Source organism: Homo sapiens, chromosome 20 (assembly GCF_000001405.40).
Source record: "Homo sapiens chromosome 20, GRCh38.p14 Primary Assembly".
In the NCBI taxonomy this organism is placed as follows: Eukaryota; Metazoa; Chordata; class Mammalia; order Primates; family Hominidae; genus Homo; species Homo sapiens.
The window spans coordinates 5,757,334-5,771,882 of NC_000020.11; the positions used below are offsets into that span (position 1 = coordinate 5,757,334).

Here is a 14,549-nt window from a genome sequence, read left to right on the forward strand (position 1 = left end):
CCCAAAGTGCCTGGTGTAAGCCACTATGCCCAGCCTTTTTCTCTCTTTATTTTTTATTTTTTTACTTAGCAACCTACTTGATAAACTATGGGTTTTTCAAAAATGCCCTTTATCAGGTTGAGGAAGTTTATTTCTATTCTAACTTTGTGGAGTATTTTAATCATGAAAGGGTGTTTGACTTTGTCAAAAACTTGTGTGTGTGTGTATATGTGTGTATCTGTTTTGGGTTTTGTCCTTTATTCTACTAATGTAGCATATTACAGCAATTCTTTTCTTTTCTTTTTATGAGATGGAGTTTCACTCTTGTTGCCTAGGCCGGAGTGCAGTGGCACCAACTCTGCTCACTGCAACCTCCGCCTCCCAGGTTCAAGCAATTCTCCTGCCTCAGCCCCCCGAGTACCTGGGATTACAGGTGCCCACCACCACACCTGGCTAATTTTTGTATTTTTAGTAGAGATGGGGTTTCACCATGTTGGCCAGACTGGTTTTGAACTCCTGACCTCAGGTGATCCACCCGCCTCAGCCTCCCAAAGTACTGGGATTACAGGCATGAGCCACCATGCCCAGTCCACATCAATTATTTTCAAATGTTAAAACAACTTTGAATTCCTGGGATTAGGTCCATGTTAGAGTATGATCCTCTTATATGTTGCTAGATTTGATTTCTTGCGCTATCTTTACCTGGCTTTGATGCAGGTAAATACCCTGATGTCAGGGTAATACAGGATGCATAGAGTGAATTGAGAAGCGTTTCCTCCTCTTCCATGTGTTAGAAGCGTTATCCAGGAGAGGGAGATGCACCTCTGCTGGAAGGAAGGACAAGTGCAGTGGGAGGAAGCAGGGTAAATTGGAGAACCTGAAGGAGGTCCATTATGTCAGATGCAGGGACAGTGAGGGGGCCTGAGGTACAAGCTAAGGTGGGGGGATTTGGGCTAGAGATGTTTCTTGGTGGTAATTAATGTCTCAGAGAAGGAAAGGGAAGGGAAGGGAGGGGAGGGGAGGGGAAGGGAGGGGGAGGGGAAGGAGAGGGGGAGGGGAAGGGAAAGGAAGGGAAGGAAGTGAGCTTTGGGCCAAGTATTATTTTTTTTTATATTTTTTTTTTTTAGATGGAGTCTCGCTCTGTTGTCCAGGCTGGAGTGCAATGGCACGATCTCAGCTCACTGCAACCTCCACCCCCTGAGTTCAAGTGATTCTCCTGCCTCAGCCTTCCGAGTAGCTGGGATTATAGGTGTCTGTCATCATGCCTGGCTAATTTTTGTATTTTTAGTAGAGATGGGGGGTTTCACCATGTTGGTCAGGCTGGTCTCAAACTGCTGACCTTGTGATCCACCAACTTCAGCCTCCCAAAGTGCTGGGATTACAGGTGTGAGCCACTGCACCTGGCCTTGGGCCAAGTTTTAAGGAAGTCCATTTTGAGATGGAGGATAGGAACAGGCAAAGAGGTGGGAGGACGCTTTGGGAAGGTCATCCTGAAAAGAAAAGAAGTACCTGCAAGTTATGAGTTGAAATGAGCCAATTGTGGGGTCTTTTGAGAAGTCTGTGGAGGGGAGAGGGGACTAGCTATGAGGAGAGCAGATGTCAAATGTGTTTTTTTTTTTTTCTCATCTTTCTTGACAAGTTTTTTTTTTTTTTTTTTTCTGAGATGGAGTCTCGCACTGCCCACCGGGATAGAGTGCAATGGCGCGATCTCTGCTCACTGCAACCTCCATCTCCTGGCTTCAAGTGATTCTCCTGCCTCAGCCTCCCAAGTAGCTAGGATTACAGGCACCCGCCACCACGCCCAGCTAATTTTTTGTATTTTTAGTAGAGACGGGGTTCCGTTATGTTGCCAGGCTGGTCTCAAACTCCTGACCTCGTGATCCGCCCACCTCGGCCTCCCAAAGTGCTGGGATTACAGGCATGAGCCACGGTGCCCAGCCGACACCTTTTTTTAATTAATTTTTTTTTTGAAAGTCTTGCTCTATTGCCCAGGCTGGAGTACAGTGGTGCAATCTCAGCTCACTGCAACCTCTGCCTCTTGGCTTCAAGCGATTCTCATGCCTCAGCCTCTCCAGTAGCTGGGATTATGGGTGTCCACAACCACGCCCAGATAATTTTTTGTATTTTTACTAGAGATGGGATTTCACCATGTTGGCAAGGCTGGTCTCGAACTTCTGGCCCCAAGTGATCCACCCACCTTGGCCTCCTAAAGTGCTGGGATTACGGTCTAAAAATTTTTTAGACAGGGTCTAGCTCTGCTGCTCAGGCTGGAGTGCAGTGGCATAATCACAGCTGACTGTAGCCTCGACCTCCTGAGCTCAAGTGATCCTCCCACCTCAGCCTCCTAAGTAGCTGGGAGTACTGGTACTTGCCACCACGACTTGCTAATTTTTTTTGTTTGTTTGTTTTGTAGAGATGGGGTTTCACCATGTTACCCAGGCTGGTCTCAAATTATTGGGCTCAAGCAATCTACCTGCCTTGGCTTCCCAAATTGCTAGGATTGCAGGCATTAGCCACTGTGCCCAGCCAACTTTTTATTTTGATATAATTTTATATCTTAAAAAAAATGCAAGACTAGTACAAAGAGTTCCCAAATAATGTTTTCCAGATTCATCAGTTATCTACACTTGCACCATTTAACCATTTACTTTATCATTCTCTGTCTCTGTATTTTTATACACACACACACACACACACATATACATATACATCTATATTTGACAGTATATTGCAGACATCATGTCTCCTTATCTTTAAATATTTAAGTGGCATTTCCAATGAACATCCTCTTTTTTGTTGAAAATGGGGGAGATTTGGGTATGTTGAAGAGTTTAAGTGAAAGGTCCAGTCGAACAGAAAACAGAGAAGGGATTGTTGTTGCTGAAGGCTTCTGGAAAGGTCTAGAGAGTGGGATGTAAAACCCAGGTGTGTGTGTGTGAGGGGGGCCTTTGCTAGGGGAGGGTCAGCTCCGCAGTTGCAAGGAGAGGTGAAGTGGAGTGCAGGTGTGGGAGGCTTTGTTATGTTTGATAGGGGAGTTTAGGAAGTTCCTCTCTGCTGGCTTCTGTATGTGTGTGTGTGTGAATTAAGGACCAAGATGAGGCCGGGCTTGGTGGCTTACACCTGTAATCCCAACACTTTGGGAGGCTGAGACGGGTGGATCACCTAAGGTCAGGAGTTCATGACCAGCCTGACCAACATGGCAAAACCCTGTCTCTACTTAAAATACAAAAATTAGTCGGGCATGGTGGCTTGCACCTGTAGTCCTGGCTATCCGGGAGGCTGAGGCAGGAGAATTGCTTGAGCCCGGGAGGAGGAGGTTGCAGTGAGCCGAGATCATGCCACTGCACTCCAGCCTGGGCGACAGAGCGAGACTCTGTCTAAAAAATAAAAAAAAAACAACAAGGTGATTATGAAAAAGAGGAGGAAGGTGTGTGAGTGTTGGAGGAGGGTCTGCATTGAAGAAGAGTGGAGAAAACATGAAGTGGTCAAGGAGAAGAGAAGAGACAGTTACGAAATAAGCATTTTAGTATTCATTTAGTGAGACAGCCTGTTTCAGGTTGACACTTGTTCACCTAGAGCACAGCCAATCTGCCCTGTTTGGTGACTCACATGGAGAGTGAGGGGTGGTTGAGTTCATCTAGGCTGGGGTTTTGCCAAAGGGGTGTGATGAAAGGACAAAATGGGGAGGGGGAGGGAAGTTTAGGACATTAACAAGATTATGGATCATAGAACGTACTGGATAAGGATGAAAGAAGCTGCAGCCATAAAAAACAATGAGTTCATGTCCTTTGCAGGGACATGGATGAAGCTGGAAGCCATCATTCTCAGCAAACTAACACAGGAGCAGAAAACCAAACACCACATGTTCTCACTCATAAGTGGGAGTTGAACAGTGAGAACACAGGGACACAGGGAGGGGAACATCACACACTGGGGCCTGTCAGGGGTTAGGGTCAAGGGGAAAGAGAGCATTAAGACAAATATCTAATGCATGCAGGGCTTAAAACCTAGATGACGGGTTGATAGGTGCAGTAAACCACCATGGCACATGTATACCTACATAACAAATATGCACCTTCTGCACATGTATCCCAGGACTTAAAGTAAAATTAAAAAAAAAAAAAGGATGAAAGAAACAAAATGGCCCCTGGATGGGAAACAGAGGAGCAAGTGAACTAGAGGCAGGCTGAGAAGATAGGAGCCTGTAATTTGTTTCTTAATGATTACTATTTTACTTATCAGAGCTAGCCATCAGTGAGCCACAGATACTGTGCTAAATATTTTTCATGTCTTAATTTCTTTTTTTTTTTTTTGAGATGGAGGCTCACTTTGTCGCCCAGGCTGGAGTGCAGTGGTGTGATATCGGCTCACTGCAACCTCCGCTTCCCAGGTTCAAGTGATTCTCCTGCCTCAGCCTCCCAAGTAGCTGGGATTACAGGTGCACGCCACCGCGCCCAGCTAATTTTTGTATTTTTAGTAGAGATGGGGTTTTACCATGTTGGCCAGGCTGCTCTCGAACTACTGACCTCAAGTCATCCACCTGCCTCGGCCTACCAAAGTGCTGAGATTACAGGCATGAGCCACTGCACCCGGCCTCATGTATTAATTTCATATAATTCTTATGACATCTCTAGAAGGTAAGTATTTTTTTTTCACTAAAAATTACAGGTGGCTCACACCTGTAATCCTAGCACTTTGGGAGGCTGAGGCAGGTAGATCACCTGAGGTCAGGAGTTCAAGACCAGCCTGACCAACATGGTGAAACCTCATCTCTACTAAAAATATAAAATTTAGATGGGTGTGGTGGTGGGCACCTGTAATCCCAGCTACTCGGGAGGCTGAGGCAAGAGAATTGCTTGAACCTGGGAGGCAGAGGTTGCAGTGAGCCGAGATTGCACAACAGCCTGGGTGACAGAGTGAGACTCTGTCTCAGAAAAAAAAAAAATTCTTTTATTTATTGACACCAGTTTTGGTTTAGAAATACCTTCTCTCTTTAGATTTTTCACAACATGCATTTAAGGGAAGGGAATTAGAAATAAATAAATAACAAGCTGATGCCTAAGTCACTTCTAAACTCACCCTAGCCCGAATTAACCCCACAGGCCCACTGGATCTGGGAATCCAGCCATACTCTCTGAGTGGGTAATGATGTAGAGGGGTGAGCTTTTGGCCAATGGCAGAAATAAAAGTGAGCAAACCAGCAGGTACATTTAATAACAAAAATGTTAGTCTTTCTCACCTGCAGGATTTGGGGACCAGTGCCTGCTCAACACTTTTTGGGTACTTGCTGAGTCCCTTGGCTATTGTGGGGGAGGCACTTGTCATTTCCCGCCATATGAAGGCAGCAGACTGTGAAAGAGAAAGTAAAAATAGCACCACAGGCCAGGCGTGGTGGCTCACGTCTGTAATCCCAGCACTTTGGGAGACTGAGGCAGGTGGGTCACGAGGTTAGGAAACAGAGACCATCCTGGCCAACATGGTGAAACTCAGTCTTTACTAAAATACAAAAAATTAGCCAGGTGTGGTAGTGCGCGCCTGTAGTCCCAGCTACTTGGGAGGCTGAGGCAGGGGAATTGTTTGAACCTGGGAGGCGGAGGTTGCAGTGAGCCGAGATCGCGCCGTTGCACTCTAACCTGGTGACAGAGTGAGACTCCGTCTCAAAAAAAAAAAAAAAAAAAATAGCACCTAATTGCCACAAAGAAGTGTGTCTGTGGCTGGGCACAGTGGCTCACGCCTATAATCCCAGCACTTTGGGAGGCCGAGGCAGGCGGATCACCTGAGGTCAGGAGTTCGAGACCAGCCTGACCAACACGCAGAAACCCCGTCTCTACTAAAAACACAAAATTATCCAGGCGTAGTGGCGCATGCCTGTAATCCCAGCTACTCAGAAGGTTGAGGCAGGAGAATCGCTTGAACCTGGGAGGCGGAGGTTGCGCCATTGCACTCCAGCCTGGGCAACAAGAGCAAAACTCCATCTCAAAAAAAAAAAAAAAAAAAAAAGAACTGTGCCTGTAAGATAAGTATTATCATTGTAAAAGGAAAATAAAAAGTCAGGACCCCAGTTGACTCTGCCAAAAGGAACAAATTAAGCTGAAAGCTGAGTCATGCAAGAAGCTGTCTTTCCTTTTGTTCCTAAGTAGAATACTACAGGTAAAAGGTTAAATATCTCCACAGGTAGCTACTGTATGTTCATCTTATCTTCTGTAAAGTGCCCATTTACTGAGCATGAGACCAATGTGTAATTGACGATTCTCCTGCCTGTTCCTTTTCTCTTGTGACACATGGACAACCATACTCTTCCTCTTTCCCCTAAGCCCACTTTTCCCTTTTAAATATTGAAGCTCTCAAATTCATCTTTGGAAAAAGGCACAGACCACCGGCAGTTCCTGTGATTCTGGTTTATTTCTTCTGGACATGTCCTTAAAGTCAGCAAAATAAACTTCTAAACTGATTGAGACCTGTCTCAGATACTTTTTGGTTTACATCATCAAGCCATTTTATAGACAAGGAAACTGGCCGGGCGCAATGGCTCACGCCTGTAATCCCAGCACTTTGAGAGGCTGAGGTGGGTGGATCACTTGAGGTCAGGAGTTCAAGACCAGCCTGGTCAGCATGGTGAAACCCCGTCTTTACTAAAAAAAAAAAAAAAAAAAAAAATAGAAAAATCAGCTGGGCATGGTGACATGCACCTGTAATCCCAGCTACTCGGGAGACTGAGGCAGGATAATTGCTTAAACCCAGGAGGCGGAGGCTGCTGTGAGTCGAGATCGTGCCACTGCACTCCAGCCTGGGTGACAGAGCAAGGCTCTGTCTCAAAAAAAAAAAAAATATATATATATTTATATTTATATATATATATATATTTTTATATATATATATTTTATATATATATATATTTGTGTGTGTGTATATATATATATATATATACATTTCTTTGTCTATTTATAGAACAGGTTAAGTGACTTGTCCAAAGTAACACAGCTAAAAAGTGACAGCAGGGGTTCAAACCCATTCTCTTTAACTCCACAAATGAGTATGGTTCTCCAATTCATGCTTCCTTCAGCTAACAGAGTGTTCAAAAATGCAGATTGTAAAGGCCAAGTGAGGTGGCTTATGCCTGTAATTTCAGCACTTTGGGGAGCCAGAGTGTGAAGATGGCTGGCCTGAGCCCAGGAATTCAAGACCAGCCTGGGCAATATAGTGAGACCTTGTCTCAAAAAAAAAAAAAAAAAAAAATTTTGCCAAGTATGGTGTCTCATGCCTGCAGTCCCAACTACTCAGGAAGCCAACACAGGAGGATCACTTGAGCCCAGGAGGTTGAGGCTGTAGTCAGCTACGATCACACCACTGCACTCCAGCCTGGGCATCAGACCTTTTATTAAGATATAAATGGAAATAATGTGTTTTAAAAATATGATGAATTGATGAGTGGGTAGAAAGTTGGATAGATGGATCGTTGTGTGATGAAGCAAGTCATAGAAAGAGTCTAGGGGTAGCTCTATGGATGTTTGAAACTTTTCATGCAAAATATTTGGAGGGAAGTGGCTGAATGGAAGAAAAATAAGTGAAGTGAAATCACTTCTTATGTGTGCACCTTGATTGACTTGTATTTGTAGGTCTGTAAGAATCTGTAGAGTAATAGAAGAATGGCTGTCTCCTCCTGGTAAACAGGTTTTTATGCCCTATACTTAGAGACTTCTTGTGCCTGCAACCCAGGGAACCCTACTCTCCAGTATTGAAAAAGAATGTTTATTTATTTATTATTTTAATTTTTTTTACAGACAAGGTCTTGCTATGTTGCCCAGGCTGGTCTTGAACTCCTGGCCTCAAGCGATCCTCCCAACTTGGCCTCGCAAAGTGCTGGGACTACAGGTGTGAGCCACTGTGCGCAGAAAAAAAAAAGAATATTTACAATAACTTTTTTTCATATTTGTTTATTTATTTATTTTTTGAGACAGAGTCTCACTTTGTCACCCAGGCTGGAGTGCAGTGGCACGATCTCAGCTCACTGCAACCTCCGCCTCCTGGGTTCAAGTGATTCTTCTGCCTGAGCCTACTGAGTAGCTGGGACTACAGGTGCACGTCACCACACCCGGCTAATTTTTTTTGTATTTTTAGTAGAGACGGGGGTTTCACCATATTGGCCGGGGTGGTCTCAAACTTCTGACCTTGTGATCCACCCACCTCAGCCTCCCAAAGTGCTGGGATTACAGGTGTGAGCCACCACGCCAGGCCACGTAATTAAATCACCCTTAAGAGAGGAAAATAAGCACTTCTAGAGAAGGAAGTTGAACCACATTATCAAAAGGTTTGGGACAAAGGATAATAATTACATTCTACTTGCTGGCCCAAGGTTGTTCACACCACAGGAAGGGTTTAATCTGCCTCCACTTCTGGTTTTTTACTTCCGTACAAATTCACTGAGTCCCAAATAATGTATTTTATACGCACAAATCCTTTTTTTTTTTTTTTTTTTTTTTTTTTAAGTAGAGGACAGGGTTTCACTATGTTGGCCAGGCTGGTCTCAAACTCCTGACCTCACGTGATCCACCCATCTCGGGGTCCCAAAGTGCTGGGATTACAGACATCAGCTACTGCGCCCAGCTGACATGTCTTCTTTTTGTGGTCCAGTTCCCAGTTTGTGATGTATTTGGCATTTAAGTGATTCTGAAAACAAAGAAAATATAGGTATCATTTCAATGTGCTATTTGTTTTCAAAAAGGATTCCATTCATTTCATATTGCTGATGACACTCTCAGTTGATGGTTGATTTCACGGCACCTTTGCAGGCAGGCAGGATATGCCAGCATCATTCATTGACCCGTTTGTTCCCTTCCAGAAGCCTCTAGAGCAGAGTGTTAGGTAACATGAAGGGAGAAGGGGGAGGACAGAGTTGCCTGGTGCAGAGGTGTTTGCTGAAGCTTCAGGCTTGGTTGGCTAATATAGAACCTGTGAAAAGACAGGATGTTCTTGCTTCTTTAGGAACCTTGATCACTCCATTCCTTTCAAGACCAACCAGCTGATAGCTTGGCTCACTCTCAGCCTGAGCGAATGTGTACAACAGCACGTGACTGGGTGTCCTCAAACAAAAAGATCTTGCCAGGTCTCACTGTTGATTTGTTTTAATATGTCTCCTATCTTTGCCTAATCGCATGGTAGTTTAGGCTGCAATACTGGGGCTATGCAGACACAGGATGCTGGGAGGACTTTTGGCTGCGTTCATCCTAGCTTGGCTGCTTTCGAGATGTGTTTCCCTGGGCAAGTGACTTTACTACTCTCTGTGTCTGAGTCTGACTGTTAAAGAGGGTACTGATAGGATTACCTGCCTCATAGGGTTGTGACAGATGAAGCTCTTAGCACAATGCCTGGCCTCTAACAAGCATTCAATAAATGGGAACTACTCTTATGATTACACTGCTCATGTTATTCTGAAATTACTTCTTTTTAAAATTAATTATATTTTTTCTCTTCTTATAGCGTCAGGGTCTGGCTATGTTGGCCAGGTTGGTCTTGAACTCTTGGCCTCAAGCAGTCCTCCCACTTCTGCCTCCCAAAGTGCTAGGATTACAGGCTTGAGCCACCATGCCCAGTCTGAAATTACTTCTTTCATGCAAACATATGTTTTTGAGATCTTTGAAGTTCTGACTGTCGTTTTAACAGCTGCATAGGATGCCATAATTTGGATATTGCCTCCTCTGAAAACTGTTTCTTTTCCTGTCACCTCTAACCCAGTTAATAAAAAACCCAGTCACCGAAACTGTCTCTCCTTGTTGACTCTCAGCTCCTCTTTAACACATTTCTCCATTCACATTTTCTTTTCTTTTCTTTTCTTTTCTTTTTGAGACAGAGTCTCGCTCTGTCACCCAAGCTGGAGTGCAGTGGCACAATCTCGCATCACTGTATCCCCAACTGCCTGGCTCAAGTGATCATCCCATCTCAGCCTCCCGAGTTGCTGGGACTACAGGCATGCACCACTCTGCCTGGCTAACATGTATTTTTTAAATTTTTAATAGATACAAGGTCTTGCTATGTTGCCCAGGCTGGTCTCAAATTCTTGAGCAGCAATCCTCCTGCCTCAGCCTCCCAAAGTGGTGGGATTACAGGTATCAGCCACCGCGCCTGGCCTCTTTATTCATTTATTAAGTTCTACTCTCATTTCAGTTAGTAAATCTATTCTTAATCTCTCTGAATCTATTCTTGACCCGTGGGTCCCTGACCTCATTCATGTGCTCTTCCTTTCCCACCCGGACCACTGCAGGCGAATGAATTCTTGTTCATGAGATTGCCTGCCACCAGGCTTAAGTGCGACAAGTCCACCTGCTACCCAGCTGTCAAATCTGCAGATCTGACCTGATAACTGCTCTGCATGTGCCCATGGCACTCATGACACCTGGTGCCAGCTATCATAAGAGTTATTGATGACAGCAACTTATGAGTCAGAGAGTAATGGAGGGGTAGGGAACACCTAGTGTAATGTCCAAATGCTGAATCCACTAAGCCACCTTGGAGGTTTCCAGAGCTTAATTAAAGAGTCTTTGTATCCAAGTTGCTGATAGCAGCCAGGCCTTCCCAGAGCTGGCTACAGGAGGAGAAGGGCTCTGTAGCCATCCAGCTGAGACCACAGAGTTTGTCCTTTCCCGTTTACTCACTGAGTGACGAATTCTTTTTTTTTTTTTTTTTGAGACAGAGTCTTGCTTTTTCACCCAGGCTGGAGTGCAGTGGTGTGATCTCGGCTCACTGCGACCTCTGCCTCCCGGGTTCAAGCAATTCTTGGGCCTCAACCTCCCAAGTAGCTGGGATTACAGGTGTGTGCCACCATGCCCAGCTAATTTTATAGTTTTAGTAGAGAAGAGGTTTCACCATGTTGGCCAGACTGGTCTGAAACTGCTGACCTCAGGTGATCCACCCGCCTTGGCCTCCCAAAGTGCTGGGATTACAGCACTTGAGCCACAACGCCCAGCCAATTCTTGACACTCACTTTAAACCCCTGATACGCTGTGGCACTGTGCTTGTCCGAGCTGGTTCTTCCTGAGTGCACACTTTCCCCTAGCCATGGCTGGCCTGCCCCACGCTTGGGGAGAACCTCTTCCAGAAAGCCTCCTGCCCCTTCTGGGCTCTTCTGTCTTGACTCACTGTGTTAACAAGGTATGTGTCTGTGTTTGGGTCACTCCAAACTAGGAGGGAAGGGTCTGTGACATTCACCTTTGTGTTCCCAGTGCCTGGCACCAGGCCTGTCACATTAAATAATTGACTGACTGCATGTTTGGTCCGTAGAGGAAAATGCAAATCACCTGTAATCATATTACCCAGATAACTAGTGAAATTAATTCACTGGATATACCCTTCTAGACATTTTTCCTCCTAGCTTTATCTATCTATATTTCTTACACATACATCTTACACATGGCATTTTATTTTATATAATCTGGATCAAACCCTACTTAATGTTTTAGAACCTTTTTACATTGAATATATCATGTGTGTGTATGCACGTGGGCACATTGGCTGGGAATCAAGCCCAGGTCAACTGCTTGGAAGGCGGCTATGCTCACCACATTTAACGTATCATGGACAGTTCTTCTCATGTAATTGTTTTTTTTTTTTTTTTTGGTAAGACACAGGTCTCACTCTCGTTTGGGCTGGAGTGCATTGGCACAATCACAGCTCACTGCAGCCTTGACCTCCCAGGCTCAAGTGATCCTCCCAACTCTGCCTCCTGAGTAGCTGGGACTATAGGCACATGCCACCATACTTGGCTAATTTTTAAAATTTTTTGTAAAAATTGGGTCTTGCTATGTTGCCCAGGCTGGTCTTCAACTCCTGGGCTCAAGAGATGCTTCTGCCTCGGCCCCGCAAAGTGCTGGAATTACAGGCGTGAGCCACTGCACCCAGCCTTATCAAATATTCTTGTAGGCCTTGAGTTATGGTGCTGTGTGGTATTTCATTGAGAGAGTGCTCTCTGATTGAACCATTCCCTTTTCTGACATGCAGTTTATTTTCCAGCTGAAATTATTAATGTTTCTTCTCTGCTGAGAGCAATTCTTTCTCATGATGAAGAAAACAGGGTAAACAAATACTGAGTTAAAGACCATCAATAGCAGGGGAAAGTACAGCAGTCCTGCCTTACCCTTGAGGTGGACTACGGACCCCCCAGGGGATACCCGAAATGGCAGATGGTACTGAACCCAATATGTACTACGTTTTTTCCTATGCATATATACATACCTATGATAAAGGTTAATTTATAAATTAGGCACAGTAGGAGATGAACAACAAAACTAATAATAGAACAGTTATTAAAATATACTGTAATATAAGTTATGTGAATGTGGTCTCTCTCTCAAAATATCTTATTGTACTATAGTCACCCTTCTTTTTGTGGTGATGTGAGATGATGAAATGCCTACGTGGCTGAGCACTGTGGCTCACACCTGTAATCCCAGCACTTTGGGAGGCTGAGACGGGTGGATCATCTGAGGTCAGGGGTTCGAGACCAGCCTGGCCAACATGGCAAAACTCCGTCTCTACTAAAAATACAAAAATTAGCCAGGTGTGGTGGCACATGCCTGTAATCCCAGCTGCTTGGGAGGCTGAGGCAGGAGAATCGCTTGAACCCAGGAGGCGGAGGTTGCAGTGAGCCGAGATTGTGCCATTGCACTCCAGCCTGGGCAACAAGAGTGAAACTCCTTCTCAAAAAAAAAAAAAAAAAAAAAAGGAATTACCTATGTGATGAGATGAAGAGAGGTGAATGGCGCAGGCACTGTTAGTGTTCGGCTACTATTGACTTTCTGAGGTTACATCAGAAGGAGGATCCTCTGCTTCAGGCAATACTGGATCATTGAGCCATGAAGATCTCAATGCTTGGGGATCCTTGATAGTGTTTTTTGATGAAAACTTTTGGAAGAACATTCTAATCAGAGGTTGTTGCCTTTCTCTAACTCAAAAGTGTTGCTGCGAAGTTGTAGGCGATTTTAAGCTGCATTCCATCTGAGGATCATATGCCATAATTTTGTGCTTTAATGTCAGTGCAGTTTGAAACACTTCAGCAAATTTTAGTAATGTCCACATGGCTGGTTCTGGTTTAGTTTTTTCTTCATCTTCCTCTTCCTCTGTGGAGGACATGAAAGTTCTTCCAGTTCCTCATTTGCTAACACTTCTCAAAGGCCTTCAGTATGTCCTTCTATTTCATCAAGCATATCAGCAAATCCTTCTCCATCAACTTGTCTTGTTGCATGGATGATTTTCCTAATTCATCTATCAATTTCAGGCAAGCCTTTAAAATCATTCACAACTTCCACTCCATCAGTCCTTCCAGCAGGCATTTGGTTTGTGGTTTAATTCATCCATTGCAACTTGATGAGTGCTATTGCATCAGCAATAGTGAATGATTTCCAGCACTACATTATTTCCAGTTTAGGGTCTGCATCCATTGCTGTTGAATGTGATCAAATACCAGGCAGATGTATGTGGCCTTGAGAAAATGAATGATGTCCTAGTCAAGCGGCTGAAGCAAAAGGTTGTATTTGCAGGTAAAAATACAACCTCAGCATTTTCATTTTCATGGCAAACAGATTCAGGATGGTTAGGTACATTATCTATTATTAATAGGTCCTTAAATTCCAGCCCTTCCTCTTTCAAATATTTTTTCACTTCTGGGAACCATTGATACATTGGTGGAACCACTCTATAAACAAGACAGCTGTCACCCATACTTTCTGATTATATGGCTAGAACACAAGCATAAATAATTTTTGGTTTTGCTTTTGAGAGCACATGGGTTCTTTGCTCTGTACACTATGCTTAGCTTTATCATATGCCCTGCAGCGTTGCCACAGAGTACCAGAGTTAATCTGGTACTTTCCAGTCTTTTCATGCTTTATGCCCTGGTGCTTCCTTTGCACTTTTATGAATGTAGGTTCTATTGGTCATCTTCTTCCAGAAGAGGCCAGTTTTATTGCAATTGAAGACTTGCTGTGTATGGTATCTTTTCTCCTTAATCTACTTCTTCAAGTCTGCTAAAAATGTTGCAGCAGCTTCTTCACTGGCAAATGCAACCTTTTTAGTAATTTTTATGCTTTTCAGCCCAAACCTATTCTTGAATCTGTGTAACTGTCCCTTACTTGCAGTAAATGGCTTGGTGTCACTTGTTTCAGGGGATCCTTGCTGATGTCTTTGTGTAGGTTCTGTGCTTTCTGGTACAACACACTGCTATCAGAACACCTTTCTGTTCATATCTTCCACGCACAAATGTAAGGCCTTTTTCATCTTAACTAAGCACTTATGTACTGTGGCCATAACTCCATAACTTTTTTTTTTTTTTGAGACAGAGTCTTGCTCTGTAGCCCAGGCTGGAGTGCAGTGGTGCAATCTCGGCTCACTACAACCTCCGTGTGGCTATAACTTTTGCAGTTTGAGGTGTGTCAGCAAGACTAACATGAATTTCTTTTTCCTTCTTCACAATTTCACGGATAGAAGATTCATTGTTACAGTAGATCTTAGTAGCCTAGGCATATGATTTTTTTCTTTGCTTATTGAGTTGAGAACTTTTACCTTTTTTTTTTTTTTTTTTT

General features: G+C 44.1%; 1 protein-coding gene across 10 annotated transcripts in view, besides 2 other annotated features; it reads left to right on the top strand.

Moving 5' to 3' along the window:
• SHLD1 (shieldin complex subunit 1) overlaps window positions 1-14,549 on the top strand; it is a 114,203-nt gene that overhangs the window by 7,141 nt on the left and 92,513 nt on the right. Inside the window, exon 2 of one of the 10 annotated variants that reach the window (NM_001303477.2) lies at window positions 7,761-7,851. The exons of the other annotated variants lie outside the window; for them this stretch is intronic. The gene's annotated coding sequence lies outside the window, so the exon portion shown is untranslated. The remainder of the gene's footprint in view (window positions 1-7,760; window positions 7,852-14,549) is intronic. 10 annotated transcript variants of the gene reach the window in all.
• Window positions 3,297-3,446: an enhancer, noted in NCBI's record as "active region_17528". NCBI's record gives its function as "activates an Ori minimal core promoter by ATAC-STARR-seq in GM12878 lymphoblastoid cells {active_cell/tissue: GM12878}" and the evidence as "EXISTENCE:reporter gene assay evidence [ECO:0000049][PMID:35858748]".
• Window positions 5,070-5,119: an enhancer, noted in NCBI's record as "active region_17529". NCBI's record gives its function as "activates an Ori minimal core promoter by ATAC-STARR-seq in GM12878 lymphoblastoid cells {active_cell/tissue: GM12878}" and the evidence as "EXISTENCE:reporter gene assay evidence [ECO:0000049][PMID:35858748]".